Source organism: Homo sapiens, chromosome 2, assembly GCF_000001405.40.
Source record: "Homo sapiens chromosome 2, GRCh38.p14 Primary Assembly".
Taxonomy (NCBI): domain Eukaryota; kingdom Metazoa; phylum Chordata; class Mammalia; order Primates; family Hominidae; genus Homo; species Homo sapiens.
In genome coordinates this window covers 73,459,537-73,475,970 of record NC_000002.12, presented here as the reverse complement: position 1 = coordinate 73,475,970, position 16,434 = coordinate 73,459,537, and the positions used below count along the sequence as shown (strand labels likewise).

General features: G+C 36.7%; 1 protein-coding gene across 2 annotated transcripts in view; it reads right to left on the bottom strand.

Moving 5' to 3' along the window:
• Nucleotides 1-16,434, bottom strand: part of ALMS1 (ALMS1 centrosome and basal body associated protein) — a 224,162-nt gene that overhangs the window by 133,949 nt on the left and 73,779 nt on the right.

The window sequence follows — 16,434 nt, the reverse complement described above, 5'->3', positions numbered from 1 at the left end:
TATGAATGTACTTAACGCCACTGAACCATATACTTAACAATGGTTAAGATGATAAATTTTATGTATATTTTATCACAATTAAAAAAATAAAAATTTTAATTGCCTCAAATAGAACCACAGATCTAAATATAAAAACTAAAACTAAATCTCTCAGAAGAAAACACTAAATCTTTGTGACCCTGGGTTATGCACTGATTTCTTAGATATGTCACCAAAAGTGCAAAGAATAAAAGTCTGATAAGTTAGAGTTCATCAGAATTTAAAACTTTTGCGTATCAAAGGTCACCATCAAGAAAGTAAAAAAGTCTACAGAATGGGAGAAAATATTGGTAAGTCCATAAATCTGCTAAAGGTCTAATATCCAGAATATAAAAAGAATGCTTGCAACTCAACAAATTTGTACAGTGATAAATTTATAAATGGGTAAAGAATTTGAATAGGTATTTCATCAGAAAAGATAAATGACCAATAAGCACATGAAAAGATGTTCAACACCATTAGTTGTTAGAAATAGGTAAAAAACACAATAAATACCCCTTAACACCCAACCAGGCTATAATCAAAAAGACAGAAAATGACAAATGTTGGAAAGGACGTGGAGAAACTGAAACCCTCATATACTGCTCATGGGAATGTAAATAGTGCAGCTACTTCAGAAAAAAGTTTAGAAGTTCCTCAACATGTTAAACATGGAGTTACTGTATGTCCCAGTAATTCTACTGTTAGGTATATAACCAAGAGAAATGAAACACCTACCCTAACACATAAACACTATGTTCATAGCAGCACTATTCACAATGGCCAGAGTGGAAAATCCAAATGTCTACCAACTAATGAGTAAACAAAGTATCTATACAATGAAATGTAATTTGGCAATAAAAAGGGATGAAGTACTGATTCACATTACAACATAACATGAATGACTCTTGAAAACACTATGCTAAGTAAAAGAAGGCAGTCACAAAAGATCATACATTACAATTCTGTTTATATAAAATGTCCAGAATTGGCAAAAAAGAATTGGGAGAGAAAGTGGACTGGTGTTTGCCTAGGGCTAGGGAATTGGGGGAGAGGGGCTAATGACAACAAAGTTCTAAAATTATGCTATTGTAAAATTCTATAAATAAACTATACACTTTAAATGGGCAAACCTTATGTATTATAGTAAATTATACTGAGATAAAGATGTTATGAAATTACTGGTTAGCTAAAATATGTCTTTTACTGATTTCCAGATGCTATTTCACAATTAAAATTATCTCTTCTCAAAAGATCTACATGAGTTTTATCAGGTTATATTATTCTCTCATCATCCAGCTTAATGACACATCAGCCAGGTGCAGTGGCTTAAGCCTGTAATACCAGCACTTTGAGAGACTGAGGTGGAAGGATAGCTTGAGCTCGGGAGGTGGACATTGCAGTGAGCTAAGATCCAGCCACTACACTCCAGCCTCGGTGACTGAGCAAGACCCTGTCACAAACAAACAAACAATGTCAAAGACTTCATGTAACAAACCAAAAAAGAAATAAGTAGTTCTTCACCGTCATGTAAACCAATAGACACACACACACACACACACACACACACACACACACACAGAGTCAACAAGCACTAAAAAGTAAAAATCTACTTTCTACAAATAAAAGAAACGTATTACCATGTGATACAAAACTTACTTAAAAATCAATAAGCTTTTGGAAACACTTGTTTTAAAAAAATTCTCAATTTTTTAAATATATAAATTACCACAGTATTTACGGCAGGAATAACTTTGTAAGAAGCTCATAGTTTTGTATTTTATGACTTCAAAACCAGATTTAAAAAAAAAATCTGTTAAAGCTGACTTCATTAAGGAAAGTATATTTCTACTAATAGAACCAACATCTATGCTAAATATTTAACAATTTGACTATAATGTGACATGGTGTGGGTCTCTTTGAGTTTAACCCATTTGAAATTCATTTTTCAACAAATTAGGGAAGTTTTCAACCATTATTTCTTCAAATATTATTACCGCCCCTTTCTCTCTCTCTCTCTCTCTCTCTCTCTTCCCTCTAAGAATCCCATAATGCATATGTTGGTATGCTTGGGGATGTCCCATAGCCCTGTTCATTTTCTTTATTCTTTTCTCTTTCTTCTCCTCGAATAAATAAATCATCTGACCTTTCTTCAAGTTCACTGATTCTTTGTTCAGACTACTCAGCTATTGAATCCTTCTAAAGAATTTTTGTTACTGTACTTTTCAGCTGCAGAATTTCTATTTGTTTCCTTTTTATAATTTCTCTTTGTCGATATTTCTTTTTGGTGGGAAATCCTTTTCTTGGTTTCCCTTAGTTCTTTGCTGATGGTATTGTTCAGCTCATTGAGTACATTTAAGGTGGGCTTCCTCAGGGATAGTTTCATTAATTTCTCTTTTTTCCTTTGAATGAGTCACACTTTTTTACTTCTTTGCATGCCTTATAATTTGTTGAAAACTGGACATATTGAATATTATAAAGTGACAACTCTGGATACTGGATTCTCCCCCTTCCCTGGAGTTTGCTGTTACTGCTTGTTGTAAGTGTTGTTTAGTGACTATTTCATAAAGCTTACATTCTTTGTTGTGCATGGAACTGAAGTCTGTGCTCACTTAGCTTCAGGGTCAACTACTATTTTGACAGGTTCCTTAAACACCTGCAGCCAAGGAAAGAAAAAAGGTAATAGGAAAGAAAAAAAACACTCCCAGTCTTTTTTGCTCTGTGTTGGGGCATTCCATCAACACTAAGCCAGGCTGTTTACAACTATATCTTAGCCTTCACATCCTACTTAGTTAGGCAGAGCCTGAAGGTCAGCTAGTGGTGAAAGCTTAGGGTCTTCTCAAGCCTTCTCTGAGGAGTTGTCCAATCCTAGGCATGTACGTAGCATTCTCAATTTCTCAGCATACAAAAAAGCATTTAAAAGTCCTTATACCACCCCGTATCTCCTTTTCAACCGTTCCTTCCTGGCTTTTTGTCTACCTATTCATTGTCCTAATTTTTATCCCCAGACTCAGGCTTCTACAGCTGATACTCTGGCTTTTAAATACTTTTGACACGTGATGACAGACAAGCCACCCCAGTCCCAGGAAAGCTCTGAGCTGTGTAAAACAAAAGGAAGCTCTATACTGGTCCTTCAGATACTTCAGACAGGTTAAAACGATCACAATTTTTTGAGAGCAAGATCTGTACTAATCCTTCTCGTGCTAACAGCCTGCACCATGAGTATAAGCTGCTGTCTTCAAAGTCATTGTTCATCTAGGCACAAGGAATGGTAGGTGAGCAATTTAAGGTGCCATAGTGTTCTGTTTCTGCAGCGCTACAGCTCCCTACTTTTCCTGGTTTTTAATGTTAACTAAATTCCAGAGTTCTACGAAAACTAATTCTGATAGTTTCTGGAAGCTTATTAGGTGTTTTTGCAAGAGCCCTAGAGTTCCCTACTCCACCATATTATATGACTTTTCTCACAAATGTTTTATATGCATAACAAAAGTATTTGACTTTGATTATGCTGATTGCAAATTTCAAATACATATTCTTTATCATATTTGAGGTATTATTCTACTATAAAGAAATATTCTACTCTAAAGAAATATTTTTAATTACAGATTTTATTTTTATTCCCAAATACTTTTTGGAGCTTAATGAAATAATCATTTCTCCATTAGATCTACTAATGTAAAAACTTGTTTATAAATTTCCCAATATTGAACTATCTGCTTTGCCTGTGATACCTACCTAACATCAATTCCCAATTTCCCCTTCCTCCCAGTCCTTGGCAATCACCATTCTACTCTCTGTTTTCTGAATTTGACTATTTTTAGATATTTCATATAAGTGAAATCATTCAGTATTTGTCCTTCTGTGACTGGATTCTTTCACATAGTGTAATGTCTTGCAGGGTCATCCATGTTGTCACATACAGCAGGACTTCCTTAAGGTGGAATAATATTCCATTGTATGTATATACCACATTTTCTTTATCCATTCATCTATAGATGTTTATACATCTTGTTTATATATCTTGGCTACTGTGATTAATGCTATTGTGAACATGGGATCTCCTCAAGATTCTGATTTCATTTCCTTTGGATATGTACCCAGAAGTGGGATCATATGGTAATTCTATTCTTATTTTTTAAGGAATCTCCATACTATTTTCCACAGCAGCTACACCATTTTACATGACCATCTACAGTGTACAGGGTTCTAATTTCTCCACATCCTCTCCAACACTTGTTACCATTTGTTTTGTTTTGATATCAGCCATCCTAACAGATATGAAGTGTTCAGTCATTGTGGTTTTGATTTGCATTTTCCTGATGATTAGCGATATTGAATATCTTTTCATATACAGCACCTTACACATTTGTATGTCTTAAGAAATGTTCATTCAAGTCCTTTACCCATGTTTTAACCAGGTTATTTGTTTTTTGTTTTGGGGATTTTTTTTTTTTTTTTTGGCTGTTGAGTTGCAGGTGTTCCTTATATACTTTGGATATTAACCCCTCATTAGATACATGGTTTGCAAATATTTTCTCCTATTCCATAGATTACCAGTTCAGTCTCTTAACTGTTTTCTTTGCTGTGCAAAAGCTTTTTAATTAGATGCAGTCCTGTTTGTCTATTTTTTTAAATTGCTTTCGCTGTAGCTATAAGTTGTTTTCTGTTAAGACTTTGGTAACCACAAAGAAAATACCTATAGAAGATACACGAAAGAAAAAAAAAAAAGGAAGGATCAAAGCAAAATCAACAAATCACAAAGGAAGACAGCAAGAGAGGACAAAAGGGACAAAACAACTACAAGAAAGAAACCAATTAACAAAATGGAACTAGTAAGTCTTTCCCTATCAATAATTACTTTAATGTAAATGGAGTAAACTCCCTAATCAAAAAACATATAGTGGCTGAATTAATTTTAAAAATAAGATCTAACTATATACTATCTAGAAGAGACTCACTTTAGATTTAAGGACACACAGGCTAAAAGTGAAGGAATAGGAAAATATATTCCATGCAGATAGCAACCAAAAGAGCACAGGTGTGGCCACACTATCAGACGATATAGACTTTAAATAAAAAACCATCCCAAGAGACAAAGAAGGTCATATGATAAAAGAGTCAATTCATTAGGAAGATATCACAAGTATAAACATATATACACCCAACATTAGAGTACCTAAATACATAAAGCAAACACTGACAGAACTGAAGGGAAAAATAGCAATTAGCAATACAGTAGAAGATGTCAGTACCCCATTTTCAATAATGAACAGAACACACATATACTGAATATTCCACCTAACAGTTGCAGAATACACAGTCTTCTCAACTGCACATAGAACATTCTCCAGGATAGATCACATATTAAGTCATAAAACAAGTCTGAACAAATTTAAGAAGACTGAAATGATACCAACCTTTTTTTCCCAAGCACAATAGACTAAAATTAGAAATCAGTAACAGAAGGAAAACTGGGAAAATCACAATTATGTGGGAATTAACAACACACTCTTAAAACAACCAGTGGATCAAAGATGAAATCAAGGAAAATTTTAAAAAAGACAAAAACACAACAAATGAACACTTACAGGATGAAGCAAAATCAGGACTAAGAGGGAAGTTTCTAATGATAATTGCCTATTTTTAAAGGAAGAAAGATCTCAAATAAGCAACTCAACTTTACATCTCAAGGAACTAGAAAAAAAAGAACAAAACTAAGCCCAAAGTTAGCAGAAAAAAGGAAAGAATAAAAATTAGAGCAGAAATAAAAAATAGAAAAACAGGAAGAAATCAACTAAATTGTTAGTTTTTGAAAAGGTAAAAACAATGTTAACAAACATTTAGCTAGACTAAGAAAAAACTAGAAGACTCAAATAAATAAAATCAGAAATAAAAGTGGAGACATCACACTGATGCAAAAGATTCATAATTTCAGGTATGTCTTCTGAGGTTTTTGTTAATGTCCTCAAGTAAATTAGGAAGTTTTTGTTAGTGTATTGGAACTGTTTATATGGCACAGGAGTTATCCATTACTTGATAGCTTGAGTCACCCATATAAACATCTAAGTCAGGCATTGTTTTTTTCTTTTTGTTAAGAGTATACCAAAAAGTTGATAGAATGTTAAAATAAACATGTGAATTCCTTCTATTTAGATTCAACAATTGTCGAACATTTTCCCCTATCCCTCCACAAAGCTTTATCCCTCCACAAAGACACTGATTTGACACTTCGACCCTAAATAATTCACCTATCATATAACCACAATGTCATTATCATGCCCAGGAAATACTTCATAATGTTACCTAATATTGAGCTAGGTCAGGTACTTTTCTTGGAAGCCAAATGTTTGATCAATAAAGTTTTTCTCTCTCATAATGTTTAATCTGTTACACGCTTCTGTTTAATTATATTATCTAAGAAAATCAGTCATTTCATGAAAATTTTATACCTAACGAGAGTTATATGTTATACATTATATTCTCCTATTATTTCAAATTTTCTAAGTGGTATATCTGGCATGCTCCTTTTCATTTACCACATTGTATGTTTTTCCTTCTCATCTTCTAGCTAGTCAGAACTTGTCTGCTGATTTGGAATTTTTCCAAGGTCCAAATCTAGATTTTAATGCTCAATTCTATCATTTTTCTGTTTTCTAGTTCATTAACTGATAGATTTTATTTTATAATTTCCTCCTTACTACTTTCGTAGTTTGGTTTGGTTTATTTTAGAGTATAAGTAAAGTTTACTTCATGGTTTTTTTTTCTAAACTTGTTGAGTTATTGGTCCATATACTAAATGATATAAAGTACTGACTTCAAACTTTTCTTCTCTTCATTACCAAACAGAAGAGAGAAGGAGAAGAGACAGTATTCTGCCGAGAGAAGTCAGTAAATCATTGGGTACAGTGTGGATCTCGTTCTCATAGCATGGAAGGGGCCAAAATGATCTCAACAGTTTTTGACAAGCAATCTAAGAGAGTTTCCTTTAGGAGCCTACAAATGTGATTTGTTGGCCTCTGCATTTCTGTGGGGTAGAGGACAGTTAAGATAAATCCTCATCGTGGTTTGGAATTGTATCTGAACATAAAATTTGTACCTTGATGTAGAAAACAAATAGAAAAAGGACAGAAGCAGGTTCCTCCTTATTGTTAATTACTTTAAAAGTAAATAAATTTAATCAATAGAGATTGGCAGAATGATCCAACTATATACTGTCTACAACAGACTCACTTTACAAAATTATAACATATGCTACAACATGGATGAACCACATGAGGCTAAGTGAAATAAGCCAGTCACAAAAAGACAAATATTGTATTATTCCATTTATAGGAAGTACTCAGAGTAATCAAAATCATATGAGACAAAAAGGAAAATGGTGGCTGCCTGGGGCAGATGGGAAGACAGAATGAGAAGTTATTATTTAATGGGTATAAGTTTCAGTTTTACAAGATGAAAAGAGTCTTGGAGACGGATGGTGGTGGTGGTTGCACAACAATATGAATGTACTTAACACCAGTAAACTGTACACTTAAAAACAGTTGAGGTAAATTTTGTGTTGTGTATTTTACCATGATAAAAAAAATTTAAAGAAACATCTGCCTTGATTCATTGAAGCAGTTTGTGCTAGGTGGATATAGAGTCTTATTAATAAATACAGTGTATTTCTCTATGTACTTAGGACTTCTACTAGCCTTTCAAAATAAATTTTACTATTCTCCAATAAAAGATCTCATAAATCTTGTTAGATTTATGCCTTGATGCTTTTTATAAAGTTTTTGCTATGATTAGAAATGGTTGCCTTCTTAAAGTTCCTTTTCTATGATTTCAATTGTATCTCTTGTTCAATGTTTCCTTTTAATTAATATATAATAAATCTTTAATAAGGTGTACAAATCTGAAGTCAGGTAGTTTATTTTTTATATGTGATGACAGCAATGTAAATGCTGCCCATATCCAGATATACAAAAACTTCCTATACCTGAGAAGACCTCTTGTGCGTCTTCCCAGTCAATACCACACACCTGACTCCACCAGAGGTAACCATTCTTATCACTTTTCTCACCATTGATTAGTTTTTGAATTTCATATGAATGGAATTATTCAGTATGACTCTTTGTGTCTGGCTTTTTTGCTAACCATAACGTGTGTGACAGCTTTCAAGGTTGTTGAGGCAGTAGTAGTTTGCTATCTTTTATGGCTACACAGGATTTCACTGGATGAATAAAGCATAATTGATTCATCTATTCTACTCTTGATATACATTTATGTAGTTTTCAGTTTGGGGCTATAATTATTATTGACCATGTCTTCTACTGAACATATGTACTGATAGTTCTTGAGTACGTACCTAAAAAGAAGTAGGAATGAAGTGTCCCAGGTAAGGCATGTTTACCATTATGAAATAACTATAAATTATTTTAAGAGTTGTGTACCAGTTTACCTTCCCATCAGCAATAAATGACTATTCCAGTTGCTTCATAACTTTACCAATATTTAGCATTGTTCTTTTTAATTTTAGCTACTCTGATATGAAGCAGTATCTCATTATGGTTAACTTGCATTACCAAACAGGCAGTGATATTGACAATGTTTTCAAATGCTTACTGTCCACTTGGATATCTTCATTTATGAGACACCTAGTGAAGTCTTTGGGTAGGAATAATTGATTTGCATGACTTCCTTATATATTCTGAATTTATGTCCTTTATCAAATATATGTATCCGAAATACCCTCTTCCACTGTGTAGCTTGACTTTTCACTCTTCATGCTGCCTTTTGATTACCATTCTTAACTTTCATGAAGAGCAATTTAGCAATCCTTTCTTTTATGAAGTGTATTTTTGTTCTTGTTTAAGAAACCTTTGCCTAACCCAACATCATGAAGAGATTTTCAAGAAACTTTATTTTACCTTTCAAAGTAAAGTCTATGATCCATCTCAAATTAATTTTGTAGTAAGGTATGATGTAGGGGACAGGGTTATTATAGAAATTATAACACATATAGTTATCAAGCTAAAGTAAATAACAGCTTTTTCCCAAACACTTAAGAAACTTGGAAAAAATTAACTCCATTTATGCAGCTTCTAACCTGTAAGATATTGTTGTCATATATTTTAAGTTTATAACATTTCATCTCAGTCATGAAGGTCCTAGTATTTTTGTTTCATATACTTAAGTATTTAGCTTTATTTATCCACATACTTAACACATCTTTTGCTCTTTAATATTTCCTACATCACAAATTTCCCATATTAGATTATTTCCGTTTAGTCTGAGGTAACCACTTAGAATTTTTTTATTTTATTATTATTATACTTTAAGTTTTAGGGTACATGTGCACAATGTGCAGGTTTGTTACATATGTATACAAGTGCCATGTTGGTGTGCTGCACCCATTAACTCGTCATTTAACATTAGGTATATCTCCAAATGCTATCCCTCCCCCCTCCCCCCTCCCCCCACCCCACAACAGGCCCCAGAGTGTGATGTTCCCCTTCCTGTGTCCATGTGTTCTCATTGTTCAATTCCCACCTATGAGTGAGAACATGTGGTGTTTGGTTTTTTGTCCTTGAGATAGCTTGCTGAGAATGATGGTTTCCAGTTTCATCCATGTCCCTACAAAGGACATGAACTCATCATTTTTTATGGCTGCATAGTATTCCATGGTGTATATGTGCCACATTTTCTTAATCCAGTCTATCATTCTTGGACATTTGGGTTGGTTCCAAGTATTTGCTATTGTGAATAGTGCCGCAATAAACGTACATGTGTATGTGTCTTTATAGCAGCACGATTTATAATCCTTTGGGTATATACCCAGAAATGGGATGGCTGGGTCAAATGGTATTTCCAGTTCTAGATCCCTGAGGAATCGACACACTGACTTCCACAGTGGTTGAACTAGTTTATAGTCCCACCAACAGTGTAAAGTGTTCCTATTTCTCCACATCCTCTCCAGCACCTGTTGTTTCCTGACTTTTTAATGATCGCCATTCTAACTGGTGTGAGATGGTATCTCATTGTGGTTTTGATTTGCATTTCTCTGATGTCCAGTGATGATGAGCATTTTTTCATGTGTTTTTTGCCTGCATAAATGTCTTCTTTTGAGAAGTGTCTGTTCATATCCTTCACCCACTTTTTGATGGGGTTGTTTTTTTCTTGTAAATTTGTTTGAGTTCATTGTAGATTCTGGATATTAGCCCTTTGTCAGATGAGTAGGTTGCGAAAATTTTCTCCCATTTTGTAGGTTTCCTCTTCACTCTGATGGTAGTTTCTTTTGCTGTGCAGAAACTCTTTAGTTTAATTAGATCCCATTTGTCAATTTTGGCTTTTGTTGCCATTGCTTTTGGTGTTTTAGACATGAAGTCTTTGCCCATGCCTATGTCCTGAATGGTATTGCCTAGGTTTTCTTCTAGGGTTTTCACAGTTTTCGGACTAACATGTAAGTCTTTAATCCATCTTGAATTAATTTTTGTATACGGTGTAAGGAAGGGATCCAGTTTCAGCTTTCTACATATGGCTAGCCAGTTTTCCCAGCACCATTTATTAAATAGGGAATCCTTTCCCCATTTCTTGTTTTTGTCAGGTTTGTCAAAGATCAGATGGTTGTAGATATGTGGCATTATTTCTGAGGGCTCTGTTCTGTTCCATTGATCTATATCTCTGTTTTGGTACCAGTACCATGCTGTTTTGGTTACTGTAGCCTTGTAGTATAGTTTGAAGTCAGGTAGTGTGATGCCTCCAGCTTTGTTCTTTTGGCTTAGGATTGACTTGGCGATGCAGGCTCTTTTTTGGTTCCATATGAACTTTAAAGTAGTTTCTTCCAATTCTGTGAAGAAAGTCACCGGTAGCTTGATGGGGATGGCATTGAATCTATAAATTACCACTGGTAGCTTGATGGGGATGGCATTGAATCTATAAATTACCTTGGGCAGTATGGCCATTTTCACGATATTGATTCTTCCTACCCATGAGCATGGAATGTTCTTCCATTTGTTTGTATCCTCTTTTATTTCATTGAGCAGTGGTTTGTAGTTCTCCTTGAAGAAGTCCTTCCATCCCTTGTAAGTTGGATTCCTAGGTATTTTACTCTCTTTGAAGCAACTGTGAATGGGAGTTCACTCATGATTTGGCTCGCTCTTTGTCTGCTGTTGGTGTATAAGAATGCTTGTGATTTTTGTACATTGATTTTGTATCCTGAGACTTTGCTGAAGTTGCTTATCAGCTTAAGGAGATTTTGGGCTGAGACAACGGGGTTTTCTAGATATACAATCATGTCATCTGCAAACAGGGACAATTTGAGTTCCTCTTTTCCTAATTGAATACCCTTTATTTCCTTCTCCTGCCTAACTGCCCTGGCCAGAACTTCCAACACTATGTTGAATAGGAGTGGTGAGAGAGGGCACCCCTGTCTTGTGCCTGTTTTCAAAGGGAATGCTTCCAGTTTTTGCCCATTCGGTATGATATTGGCTGTGGGTTTGTCATAGATAGCTCTTATTATTTTGAGATACATCCCATCAATACCTCATTTATTGAGAGTTTCTAGCATGAAGGGTTGTTGAATTTTGTCAAAGGCCTTTTCTGCATCTATTGAGATAATCATGTGGTTTTTGTCTTTGGTTCTGTGTATATGCTGGATTACGTTTATTGATTTGCATATGTTGAACCAGCCTTGCATCCCAGGGATGAAGCCCACTTGATCATGGTGGATAAGCTTTTTGATGTGCTGCTGGATTCAGTTTGCCAGTATTTTATTGAGGATTTTTGCATCAATGTTCATCAGGGATATTGGTCTAAAATTCTCTTTTTTGGTTGTGTCTCTGCCTGGCTTTGGTATCAGAATGATGCTGGCCTCATAAAATGAGTTAGGGAGGATTCCCTCTTTTTCTATTGATTGGAATAGTTTCAGAAGGAATGGTACCAGCTCCTCTTTGTACCTCTGGTAGAATTCAGTGTGATTCCATCTGGACCTGGACTTTTTTTGGTTGGTAAGCTATTGATTATTGCCTCAATTTCAGATCCTGTTATTGGTCTATTCAGAGAGTCAACTTCTTCCTGGTTTAGTCTTGGGAGGGTGTATGTGTCAAAGAATTTGTCCATTTCTTCTAGATTTTCTAGTTTATTTGCATAGAGGTGTTTGTAGTATTCTCTGATGGTAGTTTGTATTTCTGTGGGATCGGTGGTGATATCCCCTTTATCATTTTTAATTGTGTCTATTTGATTCTTCTCTCTTTTTTTCTTTATTAGTCTTGCTAGCGGTCTTTTGTTGATCCTTTCAAAAAACCAGCTCCTGGATTCATTAATTTTTTGAAGGGTTTTTTGTGTCTCTATTTCCTTCAGTTCTGCTCTGATTTTAGTTATTTCTTGCCTTCTGCTAGCTTTTGAATGTGTTTGCTCTTGCTTTTCTAGTTCTTTTAATTGTGATGTTAGGGTGTCAATTTTGGATCTTTCCTGCTTTCTCTTGTGGGCATTTAGTGCTATAAATTTCCCTCTACACACTGCTTTGAATGTGTCCCAGAGATTCTGGTATGTTGTGTCTTTGTTCTCGTTGGTTTCAAAGAACATCTTTATTTGTGCCTTCATTTCGTTATGTACCCAGTAGTCATTCAGGAGCAGGTTATTCAGTTTCCAGGTAGTTGAGCGGTTTTGAGTGAGATTCTGAATCCTGAGTTCCAATTTGATTGCACTGTGGTCTGAGAGATAGTTTGTTATAATTTCTTTTCTATTTGCTGAGAGTGCTTTACTTCCAACTACGTGGTCAGTTTTGGAATAGGTGCGGTGTGGTGCTGAGAAAAATGTATGTTCTGTTGATTTGGGGTGGAGAGTTCTGTAGATGTCTATTAGGTCTGCTTGGTGCAGAGCTGAATTCAATTGCTGGGTATCCTTGTTAACTTTCTGTCTCGTTGATCTGTCTAATGTTGACAGTGGGGTGTTAAAGTCTCCCATTGTTATTGTGTGGGAGTCTAAGTCTCTTTGTAGGTCACTAAGGACTTGCTTTATGAATCTGGGTGCTCCTGTATTGGGTGCATATATATTTAAGATAGTTAGTTCTTCTTGTTGAATTGATCCCTTTACCATTATGTAATGGCCTTCTTTGTCTCTTTTGATCTTTGTTGGTTTAAAGTTTGTTTTATCAGAGACTAGGATTGCAACCCCTGCCTTTTTTTGTTTTCCATTTGCTTGGTAGATCTTCCTCCATCTCTTTATTTTGAGCCTATGTGTGTCTCTGCACATGAGATGGGTTTCCTGAATACAGCACACTGATGGGTCTTGACTCTTTATCCAATTTGCCAGTCTTTGCCTTTTAATTGGAGCATTTAGTCCATTTACATTTAAAGTTAATATTGTTATGTGTGAATGTGGTCCTGTCATTATGATGTTAGCTGGTTATTTTGCTCATTAGTTGATGCAGTTTCTTCCTGGCCTTGACAGTCTTTACATTTTGGCATGTTTTTGCAGTGGCTGGTACCAGTTGTTCCTTTCCATGTTTAGCGCTTCCTTCAGGAGCTCTTTTAGGGCAGGCCTGGTGGTGACAAAATCTCTCAGCATTTGCTTGTCTGTAAAGGATTTTATTTCTCCTTCACTTATGAAGCTTAGTTTCGCTGGATATGAAATTCTGGGTTGAAAATTCTTTTCTTTAAGAATGTTGAATATTGGCCCCCACTCTCTTCTGGCTTATAGGGTTTCTGCCGAGAGATCCGCTGTTAGTCTGATGGGCTTCCCTTTGTGGGTAATCCGACCTTTCTCTCTGGCTGTCCTTAACATTTTTTCCTTCATTTCAACTTTGGTGAATCTGACAATTAATGTGTCTTGGAGTTGCTCTTCTCGAGGAGTATCTTTGTGGCGTTCTCTGTATTTCCTGAATCTGAATGTTGGCCTGCCTTGCTAGATTGGGGAAGTTCTCCCGGATAATATCCTGCAGAGTGTTTTCCAACTTGGTTCCATTCTCCCTGTCACTTTCAGGTACACCAATCAGACGTAGATTTGGTCTTTTCACATAGTCCCATATTTCTTGGAGGCTTTGTTCGTTTCTTTTTATTCTTTTTTCTCTAAACTTCCCTTCTCGCTTCATTTCATTCATTTCATCTTCCATCACTGATACCCTTTCTTCCAGTTGATCGCATCAGCTCCTGAGGCTTCTGCATTCTTCACATGGTTCTCGCGCCTTTGCTTTTAGCTCCATCAGCTCCTTTAAGGACTTCTCTGCATTGGTTATTCTAGGTATCCATTCGTCTAATTTTTTTGAAAGTTTTTAACTTCTTTGCCATTGGTTTGAATTTCCTCCTGTAGCTCGGAGTAGTTTGATCATCTGAAGCCTTCTTCTCTCAACTCTTCAAAGTCATTGTCCATCCAGCTTTGTTCCGTTGCTGCTGAGGAGCTGCGTTCCTTTGGAGGAGGAGAGGCGCTCTGCTTTTTAGAGTTTCCAGTTTTTCTGCTCTGTTTTTTCTGCATCTTTGTGGTTTTATCTACCTTTGGTCTTTGATGATGGTGACGTACAGATGGGTTTTTGGTGTGGATGTCCTTTCTGTTTGTTAGTTTTCCTTCTAACAGACAGGACCCTCAGCTGCAGGTCTGTTGGGAGTTTGCTAGAGGTCCACTCCAGACCCTGTTTGCCTGGGTATCAGCAGCGGTGGCTGCACAACAGCAGTGACTGTAGAACAGCGGATATTGGTGAACCGCAAATGCTGCTGCCTGATCATTCCTCTGGAAGTTTTGTCTCAGAGGAGTACCCGGTCGTGTGAGGTGTCAGTCTGCCCCTCCTGGGGGGTGCCTCCCAGTTAGGCTGCTTGGGGGTCAGGGACCCACTTGAGGAGGCAGTCTGCCCATTCTCACATCTCCAGCTGCGTGCTGGGAGAACCACTACTCTCTTCAAAGCTGTCAGACAGGGACATTTAAGTCTACAGAGGTTACTGCTGCCTTTTGTTTGGCTATGCCCTGCCCCCAGAGGTGGAGCCTACAGAGGCAGGCAGGCCTCCTTGAGCTGTAGTGGGCTCCACCCAGTTCGAGCTTCCAGGCTGCTTTGTTTACCTAATCAAGCCTGCACAATGGCAGGCGCCCCTCCCCCAGCCTCGCTGCTGCCTTGCAGTTTGATCTCAGACTGCTGTGCTAGCAATCAGCGAGACTCTGTGGGCGTAGGACCCTCCGAGCCATGTGCGGGATATAATCTCCTGGTGTGCCGTTTTTTAAGCCCGTCGGAAAAGCGCAGTATTAGTGTGGGAGTGATGCGATTTTCCAGGTGCCGTCTGTCACCCCTTTCTTTGACTAGGAAAGGGAACTCCCTGACCCCTTGCACTTCCCGAGTGAGGCAATGCCTCGCCCTGCTTCGGCTTGTGAATGGTGCGCTGCACCCACTGTCCTACACCCACTGTCTGGCACTCCCTAGTGAGATGAACCCGGTACCTCAGATGGAAATGCAGAAATCACCAGTCTTCTGCGTTGCTCACACTGGGAGCTGTAGACCGGAGCTGTTCCTATTTGGCCATCTTGGCTCCACCCGAATTTTTTAATGAGTGCTGAATGAACTGTTTTTGTCTAAAATCATTTTTATATTACCACATTCTTAAAACAGATTTTCACTGACATGCAATTCTAGATAGATATAATTTATTTTCTTTCAGCACACTGAAGGTATCATCCTAATATATCACCATTCATTGTTGAAAGAAATCATAATGGAAATTTAAAAATATCTGGAATGGTATAATAATAATTATATTACATATAAAACTTGTGGGTTGAAAGAGTTGGGGCTGGGAAAGAAATTCAATCTGTTGCAGGCATGAAGAGCAGTGGGGCTGAGGGAGAAACATACAAGGGAGTTTAAACAAGTAAATATATGGAGGATAATGGGAGCCAAGTTTCTTACTATCAGGGAAGTGAGTTACAAATAAAGAAAGAAAAAAAGGCTAGAATAACCCTGTAGTACTGGAATGGAATTGGATGTACTAGTATAAACTCAGCTCTCATTTTATAATAAAAGTAATAGATAAGGAAACAGGCCTACAGGGGAGAGGGGGGTGCGTGTAATTATGTACACACACATTGTCTGCTGAAAGGGCATAAAGGCAACAGCATCATAGTATCAATAAGCACACCAAGCATACAGATCTTAGTTTCTACATGCCACTCTCTGCTAAAAAGAACCAGCGCCCCTTGGAGAAATGGACAGCTCTAGGGTTGGTGAAAAGAAAATATAAGATATTCCTAGAGTGTCTTCCTAGCTCAGAAAGTGGGTGAATGCTCATGAAATGATGGGATCATAAGAACACACAGGAACCAGCTTAAAATGGTTCCAGTGGGCAAGTGTGGGATAATTTGAGTATCAAAATAAACAATGATAGTGATAGGTTGTGACCCTTTGAGTAAACGAAAAATCCAAGAGTCCATAATGATATAAATAAATAAATGGAGAAG